The sequence below is a fragment of the Homo sapiens genome, chromosome 14 (genome assembly GCF_000001405.40).
Source record: "Homo sapiens chromosome 14, GRCh38.p14 Primary Assembly".
Classification (NCBI taxonomy): Eukaryota; Metazoa; Chordata; class Mammalia; order Primates; family Hominidae; genus Homo; species Homo sapiens.
In genome coordinates this window covers 32,520,148-32,537,160 of record NC_000014.9, presented here as the reverse complement: position 1 = coordinate 32,537,160, position 17,013 = coordinate 32,520,148, and the positions used below count along the sequence as shown (strand labels likewise).

The 17,013-nt window shown below is 38.9% G+C and overlaps 1 protein-coding gene across 12 annotated transcripts in view; it reads right to left on the bottom strand.

Moving 5' to 3' along the window:
• The window catches only part of AKAP6 (A-kinase anchoring protein 6), a 508,387-nt gene that overhangs the window by 300,524 nt on the left and 190,850 nt on the right, over positions 1–17,013 (bottom strand). For 11 of the 12 annotated variants that reach the window (XM_047431969.1, XM_047431966.1, XM_024449755.2 and 8 more), the window contains one exon: positions 1,356–1,607. In XM_047431969.1, the coding sequence (XP_047287925.1) occupies positions 1,356–1,607 (252 nt within the window). Of the gene's footprint in view, positions 1–1,355; positions 1,608–11,522; positions 11,713–17,013 lie in introns of all 12 variants that reach the window. The other variant, XM_047431971.1, reaches the window with a different exon arrangement.

Sequence of the window (17,013 nt, the reverse complement as noted above, 5' to 3'; positions counted from 1 at the left end):
TTTATTTTGAATAAACAAAAATCAACAACAATAAATGATTTATGAGAATAGGCACAGATTTGTTTGGTGTTGTTGATAATGTTGGAGCCACTGAAACATTAATGTCAATAAATTAATGAATTATGCAACACTCATTATAAGGCCTTTTAATCTCATATATTAATGTAAGTGCCTTATAAACTTGTAGAATATATGTTTTCCACAAACTAATAGTAGAACACTAAACTGGGTATTAAGAGCCGAAGGACTAAACACACATGCCTGCGCGTACACACCCACCACTCCCTACATGCAACGTATCCATATATGGTATCCGTACATATATGTATACATACAGCCGCTGCTTAGCAAGCAAAAACACTTTTTTTTCTATAAATATATGTCCATTGTATTTAAGAATGAGACAGTTCACTCGAATTCAGATGTACAGGGTCCATTCTTAAGTTATTCATCAAGAATAACAATAAAATCTTTCAGGTACTGAATATAAATAAGAAAAATCAAATATATTTTGTATAATATTCTAATGTCCATTTGATTCACTGTATCTAGAATGATTCTTCTAAAACATGAATCATGGGAGTTTGCTGAACAAACACTTCTTTTGTCCTCAAAATGAAGTCCAAATCTCTTAATATGGATTTAGAAAGCTCTTTATCTTCATGATCTGACCTCAGCTTACCTATTAGCCCAAATCCCGCCTCCTGGTTCCTTGGGCTTTTTGCTCCAGTGCTACTGGCAGCTCTCTGGGCCTGCCATTCTCTTTCTTATCTCTGGGTATTTGATAATGCCATGTCCTCTGCCTAGAACATGTTCTGCCTCTGTTCACCAGTCTATTCCTGTCTCTCCTTTACGTCTCAGGTAGAGTCATTTCTTTTGGAAAGCCTCCCATCTGAATTAGGTGACTCTTTCTCTGTCCTCCAATGGCATCTTGTAGACTTATCACAGTTTGGCTTGAATGTCTATTCACTTGGCTCCATTTTCCTCTAGACTCAAAGCTACTTGAAGACAGAAACCATGTTTTGATCATTATTATATTCTTAGCACTGAGTGTCTGACACATAGTAAGTACTCAATACATATTTATTAAATAATTGAAGAGGAAAAGGAAGCCAGGTTAGCATCAATAACAATGAATGGCATATGTGCAAATTACCAGGTATGAGCTAACTCTGGTCTAAAGCCCCATTCATATTGGAAGTGCCCTAGCTTCTAGTCACTATGCCTAGATTCAAAGCCCATCAGGGCCTGCTTATTTACCTACAAAGAATTCCTATCCTACATCTCTAAACTGAAAACATTCTCAATTGGTCATACCTGGAAATGCATTGCTTAACTTCAAGGAAAACACTCACCTCTTTTGTCTCTTCAGAGAAAGCTTGCAGAATGTCCGTCTGCCTAGTGTAGTTGCCATTGGCGTCCTGCAGACCTTGCAGAATGCGCTCCCGCAGAACCAGCACTGAGACTCGAAGCTGGTGCCAGAGGAGCTGCACTGCGTGGATGTCCACTATCACGTTGACAGAGTAAGACAGCAGCTTTAGGGAGAACTCTGTTTCAAGGAGGGCATGGATTTGCTCAACATGATCAGAAATATCTTCACAAATGTCCTGCAGTAAAGAAAAGCAACATATGTGAGGACTACTTTGCCTTATCCTGGAGGGAGGTGAGGGTAGTAGAAAAGTACACTCTTACCTAACACCAATTATCAGGGCCAACAGTAGCACATTGGATACCTGGGGCCTTTGTTTTAGTTCAGATACCCAGTTGCAGGCCATATTCCTGTGCACTGGGCCTTCGGTCATTTAGGTAAATCAATCTTTTTCTAAACCACACAAATCCTACTATTCCATCAGATGCCCAAATTGAAAGTCAGCCAAGGTGAGAGGTGCATCTCTCCAATTCACTGCTCTCTTTTTTATTGTTTGTTGGGTATTCTGGAAGGGAACCAGTGGCTGTTTTATTTGCTAGCACTAAGCTACACTGGGCACACAATATTTCAGGTTAGAAACATCACCTAGACACCTTTGAAGAAAGATAACCTAGAATGTGTGCTTCATAGGCACTCTCAGCCATTCTCAATGAACTACGGGGTATTTGATGTAAGGGGCAATTGTCACTCTCCCACAAGTATACAACTTAATATTCAAATTCAGTGTTTTTTTTTTTTTTTTGGTTTGTTTTTGTTTTTTTTTTTTTAGATAGAGTTTCACTCTTGTCACATAGGCTGGAATGCAATGGCGCAATCTCAGCTCACTGCAACCTCCACCTATCGGGTTCAAGCAATTCTCCTGCCTCAGCTTCCCAAGTAGCTGAGATTACAGGCGGCTGCCACACGCCCCGCTAATTTTTGTGTTTTTAGTACAGACGGGGTTTCACCAGGTTGGCCAGGCTGGTCTTGAACTCCTGACCTCAGGTGATCCACCCACCTCAGCCTCCCAAAGTGCTGGGATTACAGGCCTGAGCCACCGCACCCAGCCTAAATTCACAGTGGATATCGAAATTTTCAACCCACACTTTGCAAGCAGAATCACTCTTATGAAACAAAGCCAGAAAAATTCCAAAGATGAAAAAAGACAAAATACAATTTTGTTTCGTTTCATGCAGACATTTTAAACAAAAACATTACTAACTCAGTCTCAGTCTCCTTGACACATACTATTAGGTAGGAAGATTTGGTATCTGACATGTCACTTGTTCTTACAAGTTCCCAAATTTCCATCGTGCTGTCAGAGGCCAGCAGCATGAAATGAGTGGCATCAATGGTAGTATTTACTTGGACAATTTAAGAGACCATTAAGCATCAAAATGATGGTGTCAGCTAAAAGGGCTCAGTTGCTCGTTTTTAGTTTTACATTAGTGATTTTTTAAAACTGAGCTTTTATTTATGATTTTTGTTAAGACCAAAATTTGAAGATAGCATTTGAGTTCTGAGCCCTACCATCAGTGTCAAAACGGTCATTCTATGCTGGAAACATAACCTTCTGATTTCATGTAATTCAGTTACTTTTTTAAAGAGAAAAATGAAAATATATAATCTGTATTTAAAAATGTACAAGGGAAAAAATCTATTGAAGAATGATAAATTGTGCTAAATTATGAATATTAATTGTTGTACAATTCCAATGAGTGCTCCAATATTAGTTCTTGAAACCCAAGAACTAATTGGTGACAGTGGTGCAAACTGGTGATTATAACTTGAAACAGAGCAAAAGTTTAAACTAGATGAACTTTGAAGCACTAATTAGGTAAGGTTCTCCCAAATGTGACCCACAAGGTAATGCAATCCAAAAGAAATTTAGGGCAAAAAATCTATTAGCCAGTGCATGGGAACCAATCACAGCCAGATTAGCTCGTCTCTGCTGGCCTCATCACAAAAGAGCAGGGCTCTCACTGCTATCATCAGATATTCCACATTGCCCGGGATTTCTGGTTGGAGCACCTACTTCATGTATTCCCCACACCTCTTGACCACTACCCCAAAATAAATGCCTGTATCTTTTGTCCTCTTAGGATGTTCATTTCTGTGTTGTTCTGTGCCACTTTGAGAAACTCCCTCCCTCCCACGGCTGAGTTCTTCCAAATTCTGTACACTTCCCCCCATTCTGTTGTAAAAAAACACTCCTTAACTTCTTCACAGAATCCATCTACTACCTGGACTCACCCAAACCTGATTCTGCCCAAGAATCCCACTTCCCCTGTTGTCCTCCCAGGGAAGGCTGCTCATTCTCCCAGTCCTCACCTGAGACACTATAGTAGGGATGATGGGGGAAAGGCTGGCCTCAATGCCTTTTAGCCACTTTGGCACTTTCTGATCATTACTCTTTCACTCTCATACTAACACCCTTTTTTCCCAGTAGGTGCCTAGTCTGATAAACCTTACCATCTTCCTCCCTCATTGCTGTTACCTACATTCTTCCCTTTTACTCCTCTACATTACACTGAAGAATGCAAGTGGTTCACATTTCACTCTCTCTATACCAAGCATGGCGTTATCTTTGGTAATGTCAGTATTGACAATGATGAACCAACCAACATGGTAGCCTCAGATTTCCTTTACTCTACAGCTCCCAGGACCTTCATATCCATTCCACTGGGACAAGTCTCTACCCTAGCTCTACTGTGGACTTCACTATCACTTCACCTGTGTAACAATATCAGAAATTCCCCTATGCCACCAACCTCTATTTGTTCAACTTTTTCACTCCTGTCTCCCACTACAGGTGCTCTTCAGCCTCATCCATGCCACCAGCTTCTCCAGTGACCCTTTCCTCAAATACTACCCTCCTGCTAGCATCTATGGGGTATGCCTCTGATATGGGGAGCATCTATAGTTATCACTGTTCAACTACTATCTTGGCAGTAGTCTCCACTCCCTCATACTCCTGATTCATAACTCAGATTTGTTAGCCTCTGTCTCTGGCATCTCACTTTGATGCTAAAGATGCAGAATATCTTACATACCTAGGAGAGAAAAACACTTGGGTAACCTTTATGCTACCAGCTCAGAATAGCCATATATACATTTCTCATCTACTCCACACCATCCTGCAATACAAAATGTTACATAGAGACTTGGCACCACGAAAGCATCATGTAAAAGCACATGCCATCTGTTCCTCTTATACATGATTTGGCTCCTTTGTAATAGATGTAGGAACGTAGTCAGAACAAGGTCATGGGTCAAGATTGCCAGGAAACTATCCAGGGAAAACAATATATAAAGGGCACTAAGGTATCATTGGTGCCAGTTAACTTAGGTTTTCACATCCTACTCCCTACATAACTGGGCAAGGTAAATTGGCCCCATTCCCACAGAAGCAGATGGACCCCTAAGGGGAAAAAAACACCCTTCCCATAAGTGCTGACCTACCAAAGTAGATATAATGATGGCAAATAAACACATTACAAAATCTTCAACTACATAAGCCAAGATGGAAATGTAAATTAAAACCACAATGAGATACCAGTTTACACCCGTTCAAATGCCTAGAATAAAAAAATTACTGACAGCACCAACTGCTAAGGACTTCTAGAACAACTGGAACTCTCCTATGCTGCTTATGGGAATTCAGAATGGCACAGTCACTCTGGAAAACAGGTTAGCAGTTTCTTATAAAATTAAGCATACAATTACCAATATGACCCAGCAATCCCACTCCTGGGTGTTTATCCAAGAGAAATGAAAACTTACATGCACACAAAAATGAAAAGAAGCTCCACCCACAATTGCTAAAACCTTCAATAGGTAAACTGATCATGGGTAAGTGGTCCTTCAATGTGTAAACAGATAAATGAACTATGGTATGCCTATACACTATGCAGCAGTTTTTTAAAAAGTGAACCACTATACATGTAACAATTTGGATAAATCTCAAAGGCATTACACTAAGTGAAAGAAGCCAGTCTCAAAATGTTACACACTGTATAATTCTATTTATATAAATAATATTCTCATAAGACAAAACTATAATGATAGACAATAGATGAGTGACTACTAGAGACTGGGGATGGGGAGGGCATGATTCTAAACTGATAGCACAAGGGAGTTTTGCAGACTGATGGAACTGTTTGGTATAGATTGTGGAGGTGTTATGCAAATCTACACATGGGTTAAGCTGTACACCAAAAAGAAAGTCAACTCTGCTGTATGATAATTTTTAAACTAATTACAGGAAAAGCAGTTTATAGTCTCAGTAAAATACACATAAAATTCATTTTGGATCACATACTGCCTTCGTATTCTTGAAAATTACAAAAAGCACAACTCTTTAAAGTCATGACGGTACTGTGATCATCAGCACTAATTTTATATAGTAATTCTGTGTAGCTCCCATATTATTTTCTAGCAAGTATAAAGGAAAATGAAGCTAATCAGAAGCCCATCTCAAAGTGAGTTAACACAAATGACAATGGTTAACAATATCTTAAAAGTTGCATAAGATTTTTTTCCACAGATATTACTGTGCTAATGTGGGAAAGTGACCCTCTACATTGCTTTGTTTAATTCACATATAGCATAATAGCACCATGGCATGCAGTACTCACAGACCAAAATGTATTGAATACATTATGTTACCAATTGCTGACTTCACTCAACCTTCCAGATACCTTGCTGTCTCAAAATTGAAGCTGCTGTCTCCAGTCAATGAGACAGGAATCTTCTGTGGTTACTGAAGCAGCTGATACAAACACTGAGGTGACCTGAGACTGTTTACAAATAAACTCTAGTTGGCTGAGTCCGTTGGTTTTTTTGTTTTTTGTTTTTTGTTTTTTGTTTTTTAAATTGGGTTGTATGCTTATGTGAGAGGGGTACCTTTTCCTTTTGTAAAACATATTATTGTACACTTTTTCATTGTATCTTATTTCTTCTAAACAAATACAGGGATGTTAAGGTAACTCATATATTTAACCAGTATGTCCAGTTTTCACCAGCTAGAGACAGAAATGAGGCACCCTTCTTGTGATTGCTCTGAATGCTTACTGTAATAACTCTTGAGTGTGACTTCTCAGTTCCTGCTAATTGTCCCTGGGAGACGATCTCTTTGCTGCCTCATCATGAGGCCATCATACCCTTTCTCAATCACTCTCAAAACATCTTAAAGGTTTCCCTGTGAAATTACAAATGTACATGGATCAACATTCTGCCAAGGTGCCTCAAATTGCCAATCTCCAGGGCTCCATGTGCATCTGGAAGGAAGTCTGCCCTCCCAGCAACATCCTCACCCAGGTACTGAAGCAACACTTGGCACCTCAGTTCCACAAAGTTGCACAAATGCAATCCTCTAAAACACACACACAAAAAAAAAGAAGGAAAGAAAGGCAAATTCCCCTAATGTCTGGGTGAGGTGGCTCATGCCTGTAATCCCAGCACTTTGGGAGACTGAGGCAGGAGAATTGCTTGGACTCAGGAGTTCGAGACCAGCCTGGGCAACACAGGAGACCCCATCACTATAAAAATTTTTAAAAATTAGTCAAGTGTGGTGGCACACACCTGTGGTCCCAGCTACTTGGGAAGCTGAAGTGGGAAAATGCCTTCAGCCCACGAGGTGTAGGCTGCAGTGAGCCATGATCGTACCGCTGTACTCCAGCCTGGCCAAAGCAATAAAATAACCTGTCTTAAAGCAAGAACCTGTCTCCAAAAAAAAACTGTCTTAAAGCAAGAACCTGTCTCCAAAAAAAAAAAAAAAAAAAAAAAAAGTTTCTTTACCCATATGTTCACCATATGTGTATGTGTTTATTACAGAAAGCTAAAAAGAGATTCTGACCTAATACATGTATTTTATATTTTAAAATACAGATTAAAGAAATATCACAGTTAGTTGCAATAAAACTCACAAGTAAACCTTTGAAATTGAAATTGCAACTTTATACAAAAAATCTTCCTATTGCAGAGTATAATCTTCAGTTGACTATCAAAATCATACTTTCTCCAAAAACAGAGTGATAGATTTCCCTATGGCAAAATATTTTTATTTCCCCAAAAGTGAACTATCCCTCTCAGTAAAGGAGAAGTACAGGGGAACTTTCTCAACTTGATAAAGAATATCTACAAAAAACCTATAGCTAACAGCAAACTTAACAGTGAGAAACTAGAAGTTTTCCCGCAAAGACTGACAGCAAGGCAAGGATGCCTCCTCTCAGCACTCCTTTACAACATCATACTAGAAGTCCTAGCTATTGCAATAAGATAAAAAGAGGAAAGAAAAGGCATAGATTTGGAAGGAAGAAATGAAACTGTCTTGTTCAAAGATGACATGATCGTCTATGTAGAAAATCTGACAGGATGGAAAAAAAAAGTAGACTCCTGGGACTAATAAGCAATCATAGCAACGTTGCAGAATATGAGGTTAATATACAAAAGTCAATTGCTTTCCTATATACCAGCAATGAACAATTGGAATATGAAATAAAAAACACAATACCATTTATACTAGCATCCCCCCAAATGAAATCTTAGGTATAAATCTAAAAACATATGTACAAGATCTATATGAAAACTGCAAACTCTGATGAAAGAAATCAAGGAAGTAAATACATGCAGTGGTATTCCATGTTTCTGGATAGGAAGACTCAATATTATCAAGATGTTAGTTCTTCCCAACTTGATGTACAGCCTCAACTCAGTAAAAAACCCAGAAAGTTATTTTATAGATAACAAACTGATTCTAAAGTTTATGTGAAGAGGCTCGGCACGGTGGCTCACACCTGTAATCCTAGCACTCTGGGAGGCTGAGGCAGGTGGATCACCTGAAGTCAGGAGTTTAAGACAAGCCTGGCCAACATGGTGAAATCCAAACTCTACTAAGAATACAAAAATTAGCTGGGAGCAGTGTTGCATGCCTGTAATCCCAGCTACTTGGGAAGCTGAGGCAGGAGAATCACTTGAACCCAAGAGGCAGAGGTTGCAGTGAGCCGAGATCACGCCATTGCACTCCAGCCTGGGGGACAGAGCTAGACTCTGTCTAAAAAATAATAATAATAATAAAGTTTATGTGAGGCAAAAGACCCAGAATATCCAAAACAATGTTTAAAAAGAACTCAACGGGGGGACTAACATTACCCAACTTCAAGATTTACTACAAAGCTACATTAATCAAGACAATTATATTGGCAAAAGAACAGACAAACAGATCAATGAACAGAATAGACAGCCTAGAGGTAGGCCCCCATAAGTAACAGTTAACTGATCTTTGACAAAGGAGCAAAGGCAACACAATAGAGAAAAGACAGTCTTTTCAACAAACGGTGCTGGAACTGGACATCTACAAGCAAATAATAATAATAATGATAATCCTAGACATTGACCTTACACCCTTAACACAAATTAACTCAAAATATATCACAGACTTAAGGGTAGACCTACTAGACAGCCTAGAGGTAGACCCACATAAGTAATAGTTAACTGATGTTCGACAAAGGAGCAAAGGCAACACAATAGAGAAAAGACAGTCTTCTCAACAAATGGTGCTGGAATTGGACATCTACTAGCAAGTAATAATAATAATGATAATCCTAGACATAGACCTTACACCCTTAACAAAAATTAACTCAAAATATATCACAGACCTAAGGGTAAAATGCAAAACCATAAAATCCTATAAGATATCATAGAAGAAAATCTAGATTACCTTGGGTTTGGCAATGACTTTTTGTTAATAGATACAACACCAAAGGCACAATCTATGAAAGAATTAATAAGCTGACTTCATTAAAATTAAATATTTATGTTCTGTGAAAGACATCATTAAAAGAATGAAAAGACAAGCCACAGACTGGGAGAAAATATTTGCAAAAGACTTATGAAGGATCATTATTCAAAATATATAAAGAAGTCTTAAAGCTCAACAAAAAGAAAACAAACAACCCAATTAAAAAACAGTCCAAAGACCTTAACAGATGCCTCACCAAAGAAAATAGACAGATGACAAATAAGAATATGAAAAGATGGTTCCATATGATAAGTCATCAGGGAAATGCAAATTAAAACAATGAGATACCATTAAAACAATGAGATACCATTACATAATCATTAGAATGGCCAAAATTCAGAATATTGACAACACCAAATGCTGGTGAGGATGTGGAGTAAGAGGAACTCTCATTCATTGTAGTGGGAATGCAGTTTGGTGGTTTCTTACAAAGCTAAACATATTCTCACCATAAAAACCAGCAATCGCACTCCTTGGTTTTTACCCAAAGGAGTTGAAAACTCATATCCACAGAAAAACCTGCACACAGATGTTTATAGCGGCTTTATTCATAATTGCCACAACTTGGAAGCAACCAAGGATTGCCAAAACTTGGAAGCAACCAAGGAGTTCAGTAGGTGAATGGATAAACTTTGGTATATCTAGACAATAGAATATTAGTCAGTGCTAAAAAGAAGTAAGCTATCAAGCTATGAAAAGACATGAGGAACCTTAAATGTATATTACTAAGTGAAAGAAGTCAATCTGAAAAGGCTACAAACCGTACTATTCCATTTATATGACATTCCGGAAAAGGCAAAGCAGTGGCTCCCAGACCGTTTGGGGCAAGGAGGGAAGACTAAGTAGAGAAGAGGATGTTTATGGCAGTGAAACTGTTCTATATACTATAAAGGTGGATACACATAATTTAATATTCCTCAAAATCTATAGAATGTACAAGACAGAGTGAACCCAATGTACACTATGTACACTATGGAATTGGGGTGATAATGATGTGCCAAAGTAGGTTCATCAATTGTAACAAATGTACCACCCTAGTGGGAGGTGCTGACAATGTGGAAAGCTATGCATGTGTGGAAACCTTAATGCAAGGGGATATAAGGGCTACCTCTGTGCCTGCCTCTTAATTTTGCTGTGAATCTAAACTGGTTACAAAAATACTATTTAAAAAAACACAAACTAGACTACCTCTTCTTTATTTTTCCTCTAGCAAATACACTTTTCTAATAAGCCTAGTTTCTTCTTTTGTCATATTAAGAATTAACTATAATGGGCTGAACATGGTGGCTCACACCTGCAATCCCATCACTTTGGGAGGCCAAGGTCGAAGGACCCCTTGAGCCCAGGAGTTTGAGACCACCCTGGGCAATGTGGCAAAAACCCATCTCTACAAAAGATACAAAAAGTATGCAAGCCTGGGCCAGGCACTGTGGCTCACATCTGTAATGCCAGCACTTTGTGGGGGCTAAGGTGGGCGGATCACTTGAGTTCATGAGTTTGAGACCAGCCGGGGCAATGTGGTGAAACTGCATCTCTACTAAAAATACAAAAATTAGTGGGGCATGGTGGCAGGTGCCTGTCATCCAAGCTACTCTGGAGGCTGAAGCAGGAGGATCACTTGACCCCGGGAGGCAGAGGTTGCAGTGAGCTGAGATTTCGCCACTGCACTCCAACCTGGGCGACAGGGCAAGGCTGTCTCAAAAAAATAAAAATAAAAAAATTATCCAGACCTGGTGGCATACACCTGTAGTCCCAGCTACTTGGGAAGATGAGGAGGGAGGATCACTTGAGCCCAGGAGGTCAAGGCTACAGTGAGCCATGATCACACCACTGTACTCCAGCCTGGGCAATAGAGTGAGACCCTGTCTCAAATTTAAAAATAATAAAAAAAGAATGACCATAATGGAGCGCAGTGGGAATAATCCTGACTTTTTATGATAATCACAGAACTTCTCTCCAAAGTTTGAAGAACTCTATAAACAGTAGTTATTCTTTTTAGTGCTAAAATTATGAGAGTGTGATGACTAAAATGAGCTAATTTATGTGGAAATGATTTGCTATTATTATTGGCTGTTACTCATCCATCTCCCTAACTAGACTGTATCTTTCTAGAAGCAGGAAATGTGTCTTATTTGTCTTGGTTATCTATAATGCCACACTGTTAGGACACCGCCATACAGATGCAAAGGATGTTTGTGAAGTCGAATTCAATTGGATAAAATATTGTATTTTACAAATTAGAGGTAAACCCCTAAAAAGCAAATAGTAGCTTAAATTTCTTTCTGAAGTATATTTACACTAATTGGCACTTACTCAGCAAGTAATGTCAGCAGTCACTGACATTGGGTCACCTCCTGCTTTGATTAGGAGAGGGTCTGAAAAAGCGAGCAGATTTGGAAGCGTGGAAGAGATGATAGAAAGAGAATGATGAAGATGCAGAATACAGTCTTGGAAGCATTCACACTTCTGCCTTCACGTCTCTGAAAGTCTCCTCTGCCTTCAACTGAGAAAGGACCAATTAGAAGTTCTGTCAGGATATACCTGGCCATATACAAACGTAGATTGCTTTGCTTTCCATGCTTTGAAAATTTTTTGCATAAAATTGTTATTAAAAAGCTTCAGAGGATTCATTTATTGAGCTATCACTTTAAATACCTAATACCAGGCTCTGACTTATTTGACCAGGAATAAACCCTAAACAAAAAGTTTGGAGGAAAACTGACCATTGTTATTGTACACTGGAGAAATTGTTTTTCTAAGCAAGCTACTGCTTAGTCATTCTTGCATTCAGTATTCTACATGACACAATGCAGGATCAAAATCTGAGTTCATTCACTAAAAAAATCATGGCTGTGGTCTTGACTCTCAATAGCTCTTCTGGAAATTGTTCAGAATATCTATACCTTCCCCAAGACATCTTCATAGAACTGATTTTTTTTAGCAGTGTTTCAGGTAGAAATTAATAGAGAAGACAGTGGTGGTTCTTACCTTGCAGTGTGCTTGTTAACCATGCATATTCCTGGGCTACTCCTTTTCAAGACAGCTAGGGCCAAAGAACCTGCATTTTCTTAAGCATGTGATGGCCATCATGCTGGTGTTCTATGCACCACACATTGAAAAACACGGAGCCAGAAATGGGTCATCTGTCTAGGCTGACTGATGCTGAAGTGGGAACTACGTGCAAGCCTGCTGCTAAGCACTGTAAAAGCAAAAGCTCCCAGCACTTGAAAGGTAGCCCACCACTGATATTACACAAATATATCTACAGTAGAATTTACATTCTTTGTGCGCCAGAAAACAACATTCCATAACTTTATTTACCCAGTACTGATAGTGTTGTAATAATCTCTAGGGCAGCATCAGGTTTGTGGATTTTTCTAACATGCCTTCTCTTTTGCTTTTTTGTACACTTTATCATAAAATGAAACAAATGACTGTCTCACACACACAAATAAATATATTTAATATATGTATGTAATATATATGTATATAGTAAATATGCTATTTACATGTATACCAGATGTTTATATATATGGCTTAGTAAATTATTATAAGGAAAACACTCTTGTAACAACCACCCAGGCCAAAATTTAGAACTTTACCAGCCATCCCCACCCCAGAACTGCTTCCGCCTGTCCCCTTTCCATCACAGAGGCTTCATCCCTCCAAAAGTGACCACTATCCTGATTTGCACAGCAATCATTCCCGCACAAGAGTACCTGCATATAATAATTTACTTTTGCCCAGTTTTTATCTTGATATGTCTTTTAAGTCTCTTCTCCATTTTTTTTTTTGAAACAGGCTCTTGCTGTTTGGCCTAGGCTAGTCTCAAATGATGTGCCCACCTTAGCCTTTGGAGTAGCTGGATTATAGGCACGTGTTACCACACCCAGCTTAAGTCTCTTTTAATCTGTTTTTCTATCTGTATTTCCTTTTTCATACAATTTATCTGTTGAAGAACTTCGGGCATTAGACCTGCAGAGTTTTCCACAATTTGGATTTGTTGATTGAAGCCACATGAAGCAATCCAGCCTGCCAGTTATTCTGTCCTCTTTACTTTCTAAAAACTGGCATCTGGATCCTGAGGCCTGATTCACCTCAGCTTCAATTTCTTTGACAAAACAGTAAGTACCACAGTCTTTTTTTTTTTTTTTTTTTTTAATCAGGAGGAGTATTTAACTTCATGGCCAGGCATGGTGGCTCACACCTGCAACCTGGCACTTTGAGAGGCTGAGGCCGGCAGATCGCTTGGCTCAGGAGCTCGAGACCAGTCTGGGCGACAAAGTGAGACCCCATCTCTACAAAAAATACAAAAATTAGCCAGACATAGTGATGTGTGCCTGTGGTCTCAGCTATTCAGGAAGCTGAGGTGGGAGGATGGCTTGACCCTGGGAGGCGGATGTTGCAGTGAGCTGAGATCACATCACTGCACTCTAGCCTGGGCGACAGAATCAGACCCCGTCTCAAAAAAAAAAAAAAGAGAGAGAGAGAGGTATTCAACTTTGATTTTTGTTCTTTTTTCGATAGTTGGTGATATCAACTATTTTAGTAATTGCTGGTCAGCGGTGCCTAGATCTGTTAATGTATTGGGAGTTGTAGCATGATGATATTCTTTTTTTAAAAAATTCTACTTTAAGTTCTAGGGAACATGTGCACAACGTGCAGGTTTGTTACATATGTATACATGTGCCATGTTGGTGTGCTGCACCCATTAACTCATCATTTACATTAGGTATATCTCCTAATGTTATCCCTCCCCCCCTTCCCCCACCCCAAGACAGGCCCCGGTGTGTGATGTTCCCCACCCTGTGTCCAAGTGTTCTCATTGTTCAATTCCCACCTATGAGTGAGAACATGCGGTGTTTGGTTTTTTGTCCTTGGTGATAGTTTGCTCAGAATGATGGTTTCCAGCTTCATCCATGTCCCTACAAAGGACATGAACTCATCCTTTTTTGTGGCTGCATAGCATTCCATGGTGTATATGTGCCACATTTTCTTAATCTAGTCTATCATTGATGGACATTTGGGTTAGTTCCAAGTCTTTGCTATTGTGAATAGTGCCCCATTAAACATAACGTGTGCATGTGTCTTTATAATCCTTTGGGTATATACCCAGTAATGGGATGGCTGGGTAAAATGGTATTTCTAGTTCTAGATCCCCGAGGAATCGCCACACTGTCTTCCACAACGGTTGAACTAGTTTACACTCCCACCAACAGTATAAAAATGTTCCTATTTCTCCACATCCTCTCCAGCACCTGTTGTTTCCTGACTTCTTAATGATCACCATTCTAACTGGTGTGAGATGGTATCTCATTGTGATTTTGATTCGCATTTCTCTGATGGCCAGTGATGATGAGCATTTTTTTCATGTGTCTGTTAGCTGCATAAATGTCTTCTTTTGAAAAGTGTCTGTTCATATCCTTTGCCCACTTTTTGTTGGGGTTGTTTGATTTTTTCTTGTAAGTTTGTTTAAGTTCTTTGTAGATTCTGGATATTAGCCCTTTGTCAGATGGGTAGATTGTAAAATTTTTCTCCCATTCTGTAGGTTGCCTGTTCACTCTGATGGTAGTTTCTTTTGCTGTGCAGAAGCTCTTTAGTTTAATTAGATCCCATTTGTCAATTTTGGCTTTTGTTGCCATTGCTTTTGGTGTTTCAGTCATGAAGTACTTGCCCATGCCTATGTCCTGAATGGTATTGCCTAGGTTTTCTTCTAGGGTTTTTATGGTTTTAGGTCTAACATTTAAGTCTTTAATCCATATTGAATTAATTTTTGTATAAGGTGTAAGGAAGGATCCAGTTTCAGATTTCTACATATAGCTAGCCAGTTTTCCCAGCACCATTTATTAAATAGGGAATCCTTTCCCCATTTCTTGTTTTCGTCAGGTTTGTCAAAGATCAAATGGTTGTAGATGTGTGGTATTATTTCTGAAGTCTCTGTTCTGTTCCATTGGTCTATAACTCTGTTTTGGTACCAGTACCATGCTGTTTTGGTTACTGTAGCCTTGTAGTATAGTTTGAAGTCAGGTAGCATGATGTCTCCAGCTTTGTCCTTTTAGCTTAGGATTGTCTTGGCAATACAGGCTCTTTTTTGGTTGCACATGAACTTTAAAGTAGTTTTTTTCCAATTCTGTGAAGAAAGTCATTGGTAGCTTGATGGGGATGGCATTGAATCTATAAATTACCTTGGGCAGTATGGCCATTTTCAGGATATTGATTCTTCCTAACCATGAGCATGGAATGTTCTTCCATTTGTTTGTGTCTTCTTTTATTTCATTGAGCAGTGGTTTGTAGTTCTCCTTGAAGAGGTCCTTCACATCCCTTGTAAGTTGGATTCCTAGGTATTTTATTCTCTTTGAAGCAATTGTCAGTGGGAGTTCACTCATGATTTGGCTCTCTGTTTGTCTGTTAGTGGTGTATAGGAATGCTTGTGATTTTTGCACATTGATTTTGTATCCTGAGACTTTGCTGAAGTTGCTTATCAGCTTAAGGAGATTTTAGGCTGAGATGATGGGGTTTTCTAAATATAAAATCATGTCATCTGCAAACAGGGACAATTTGACTTCCTCTTTTCCTAATTGAATACCCTTTATTTCTTTCTCCTGCTTGATTGCCCTGGCCAGAACTTCCAACACTATGTTGAATAGGAGTGGTGAGAGAGGGCATCCCTGTCTGGTGCCCGTTTTCAAAGGGAATGCTTCCAGTTTTTGCCCATTCAGTATGATATTGGCTGTGAGTTTATCATAAATAGCTCTTATTATTTTGAGATACATCCCATCAATACCTAATTTATTGAGAGTTTTTAGCATGAAGGGCTGTTGAATTTTGTCAAAGGCCTTTTCTGCATCTATTGAGATAATCATGTGGTTTCTGTGGTTCTGTTTATATGATGGATTATGTTTATTGATTTGCATATGGTGAACCAGCCTTGCATCAAAGGGATGAAGCCAACTTGATCTTGGTAGATAAGTGTTTTGATGTGCTGCTGGATTCGGTTTGCCAGTATTTTATTGAGGATTTTTGCATTGATGTTCATCAGGGATATTGGTCTAAAATTATTTTTTTGTTGTGTCTGCCAGGCTTTGGTATCAGGATGATGATAGTCTCATAAAATGAGTTAGGGAGGATTCCCTCTTTTTCTATTGATTGGAATAGTTTCAGAAGGAATGGTAGCAGCTCCACTTTGTACCTCTGGTAGAATTCGGCTATGAACGCGTCTGGTCCTAGACTTTTTTTGGTTGGTAGGCTACTAATTACTGCCTCAATTTCAGAGCCTGTTATTGGTTTAAGAGATTCAACTTCTTCCTGGTTTAGTCTTGGGAGGGTGTATGTGTCCAGGAATTTATCCATTTCTTCTAGATTTTCTAGTTTATTTGTGTTGAGGTGTTTATAGTATTCTCTGATGGTAGTTTGTATTTCTGTGGGATTGGTGGTGATATCCCCTTTATCATTTTTTATTGTGCCTATTCGATTCTTCTCTCTTTTCTTGTTTATTAGTCTTGCTAGCGATCTATCAACTTTGTTGATCTTTTCAAAAAACCAGCTCCTGGATTCATTGATTTTTTGAAGGGTTTTTTGTGTCTCTATCTCCTTCAGTTCTGCTCTGATCTTAGTTAATTCTTGCCTTCTGCTAGCTTTTGAATGTGTTTGCTCTTGCTTCTCTAGTTCTTTTAATTGTGATGTTAGGGTATCAATTTTAGATCTTTCCTGCTTTCTCTTGTGGGCATTTAGTGCTATAAATTTCCCTCTACACACTGCTTTAAATGTGTCCCAGAGATTCTGGTATGTTGTGTCTTTGTTCTTG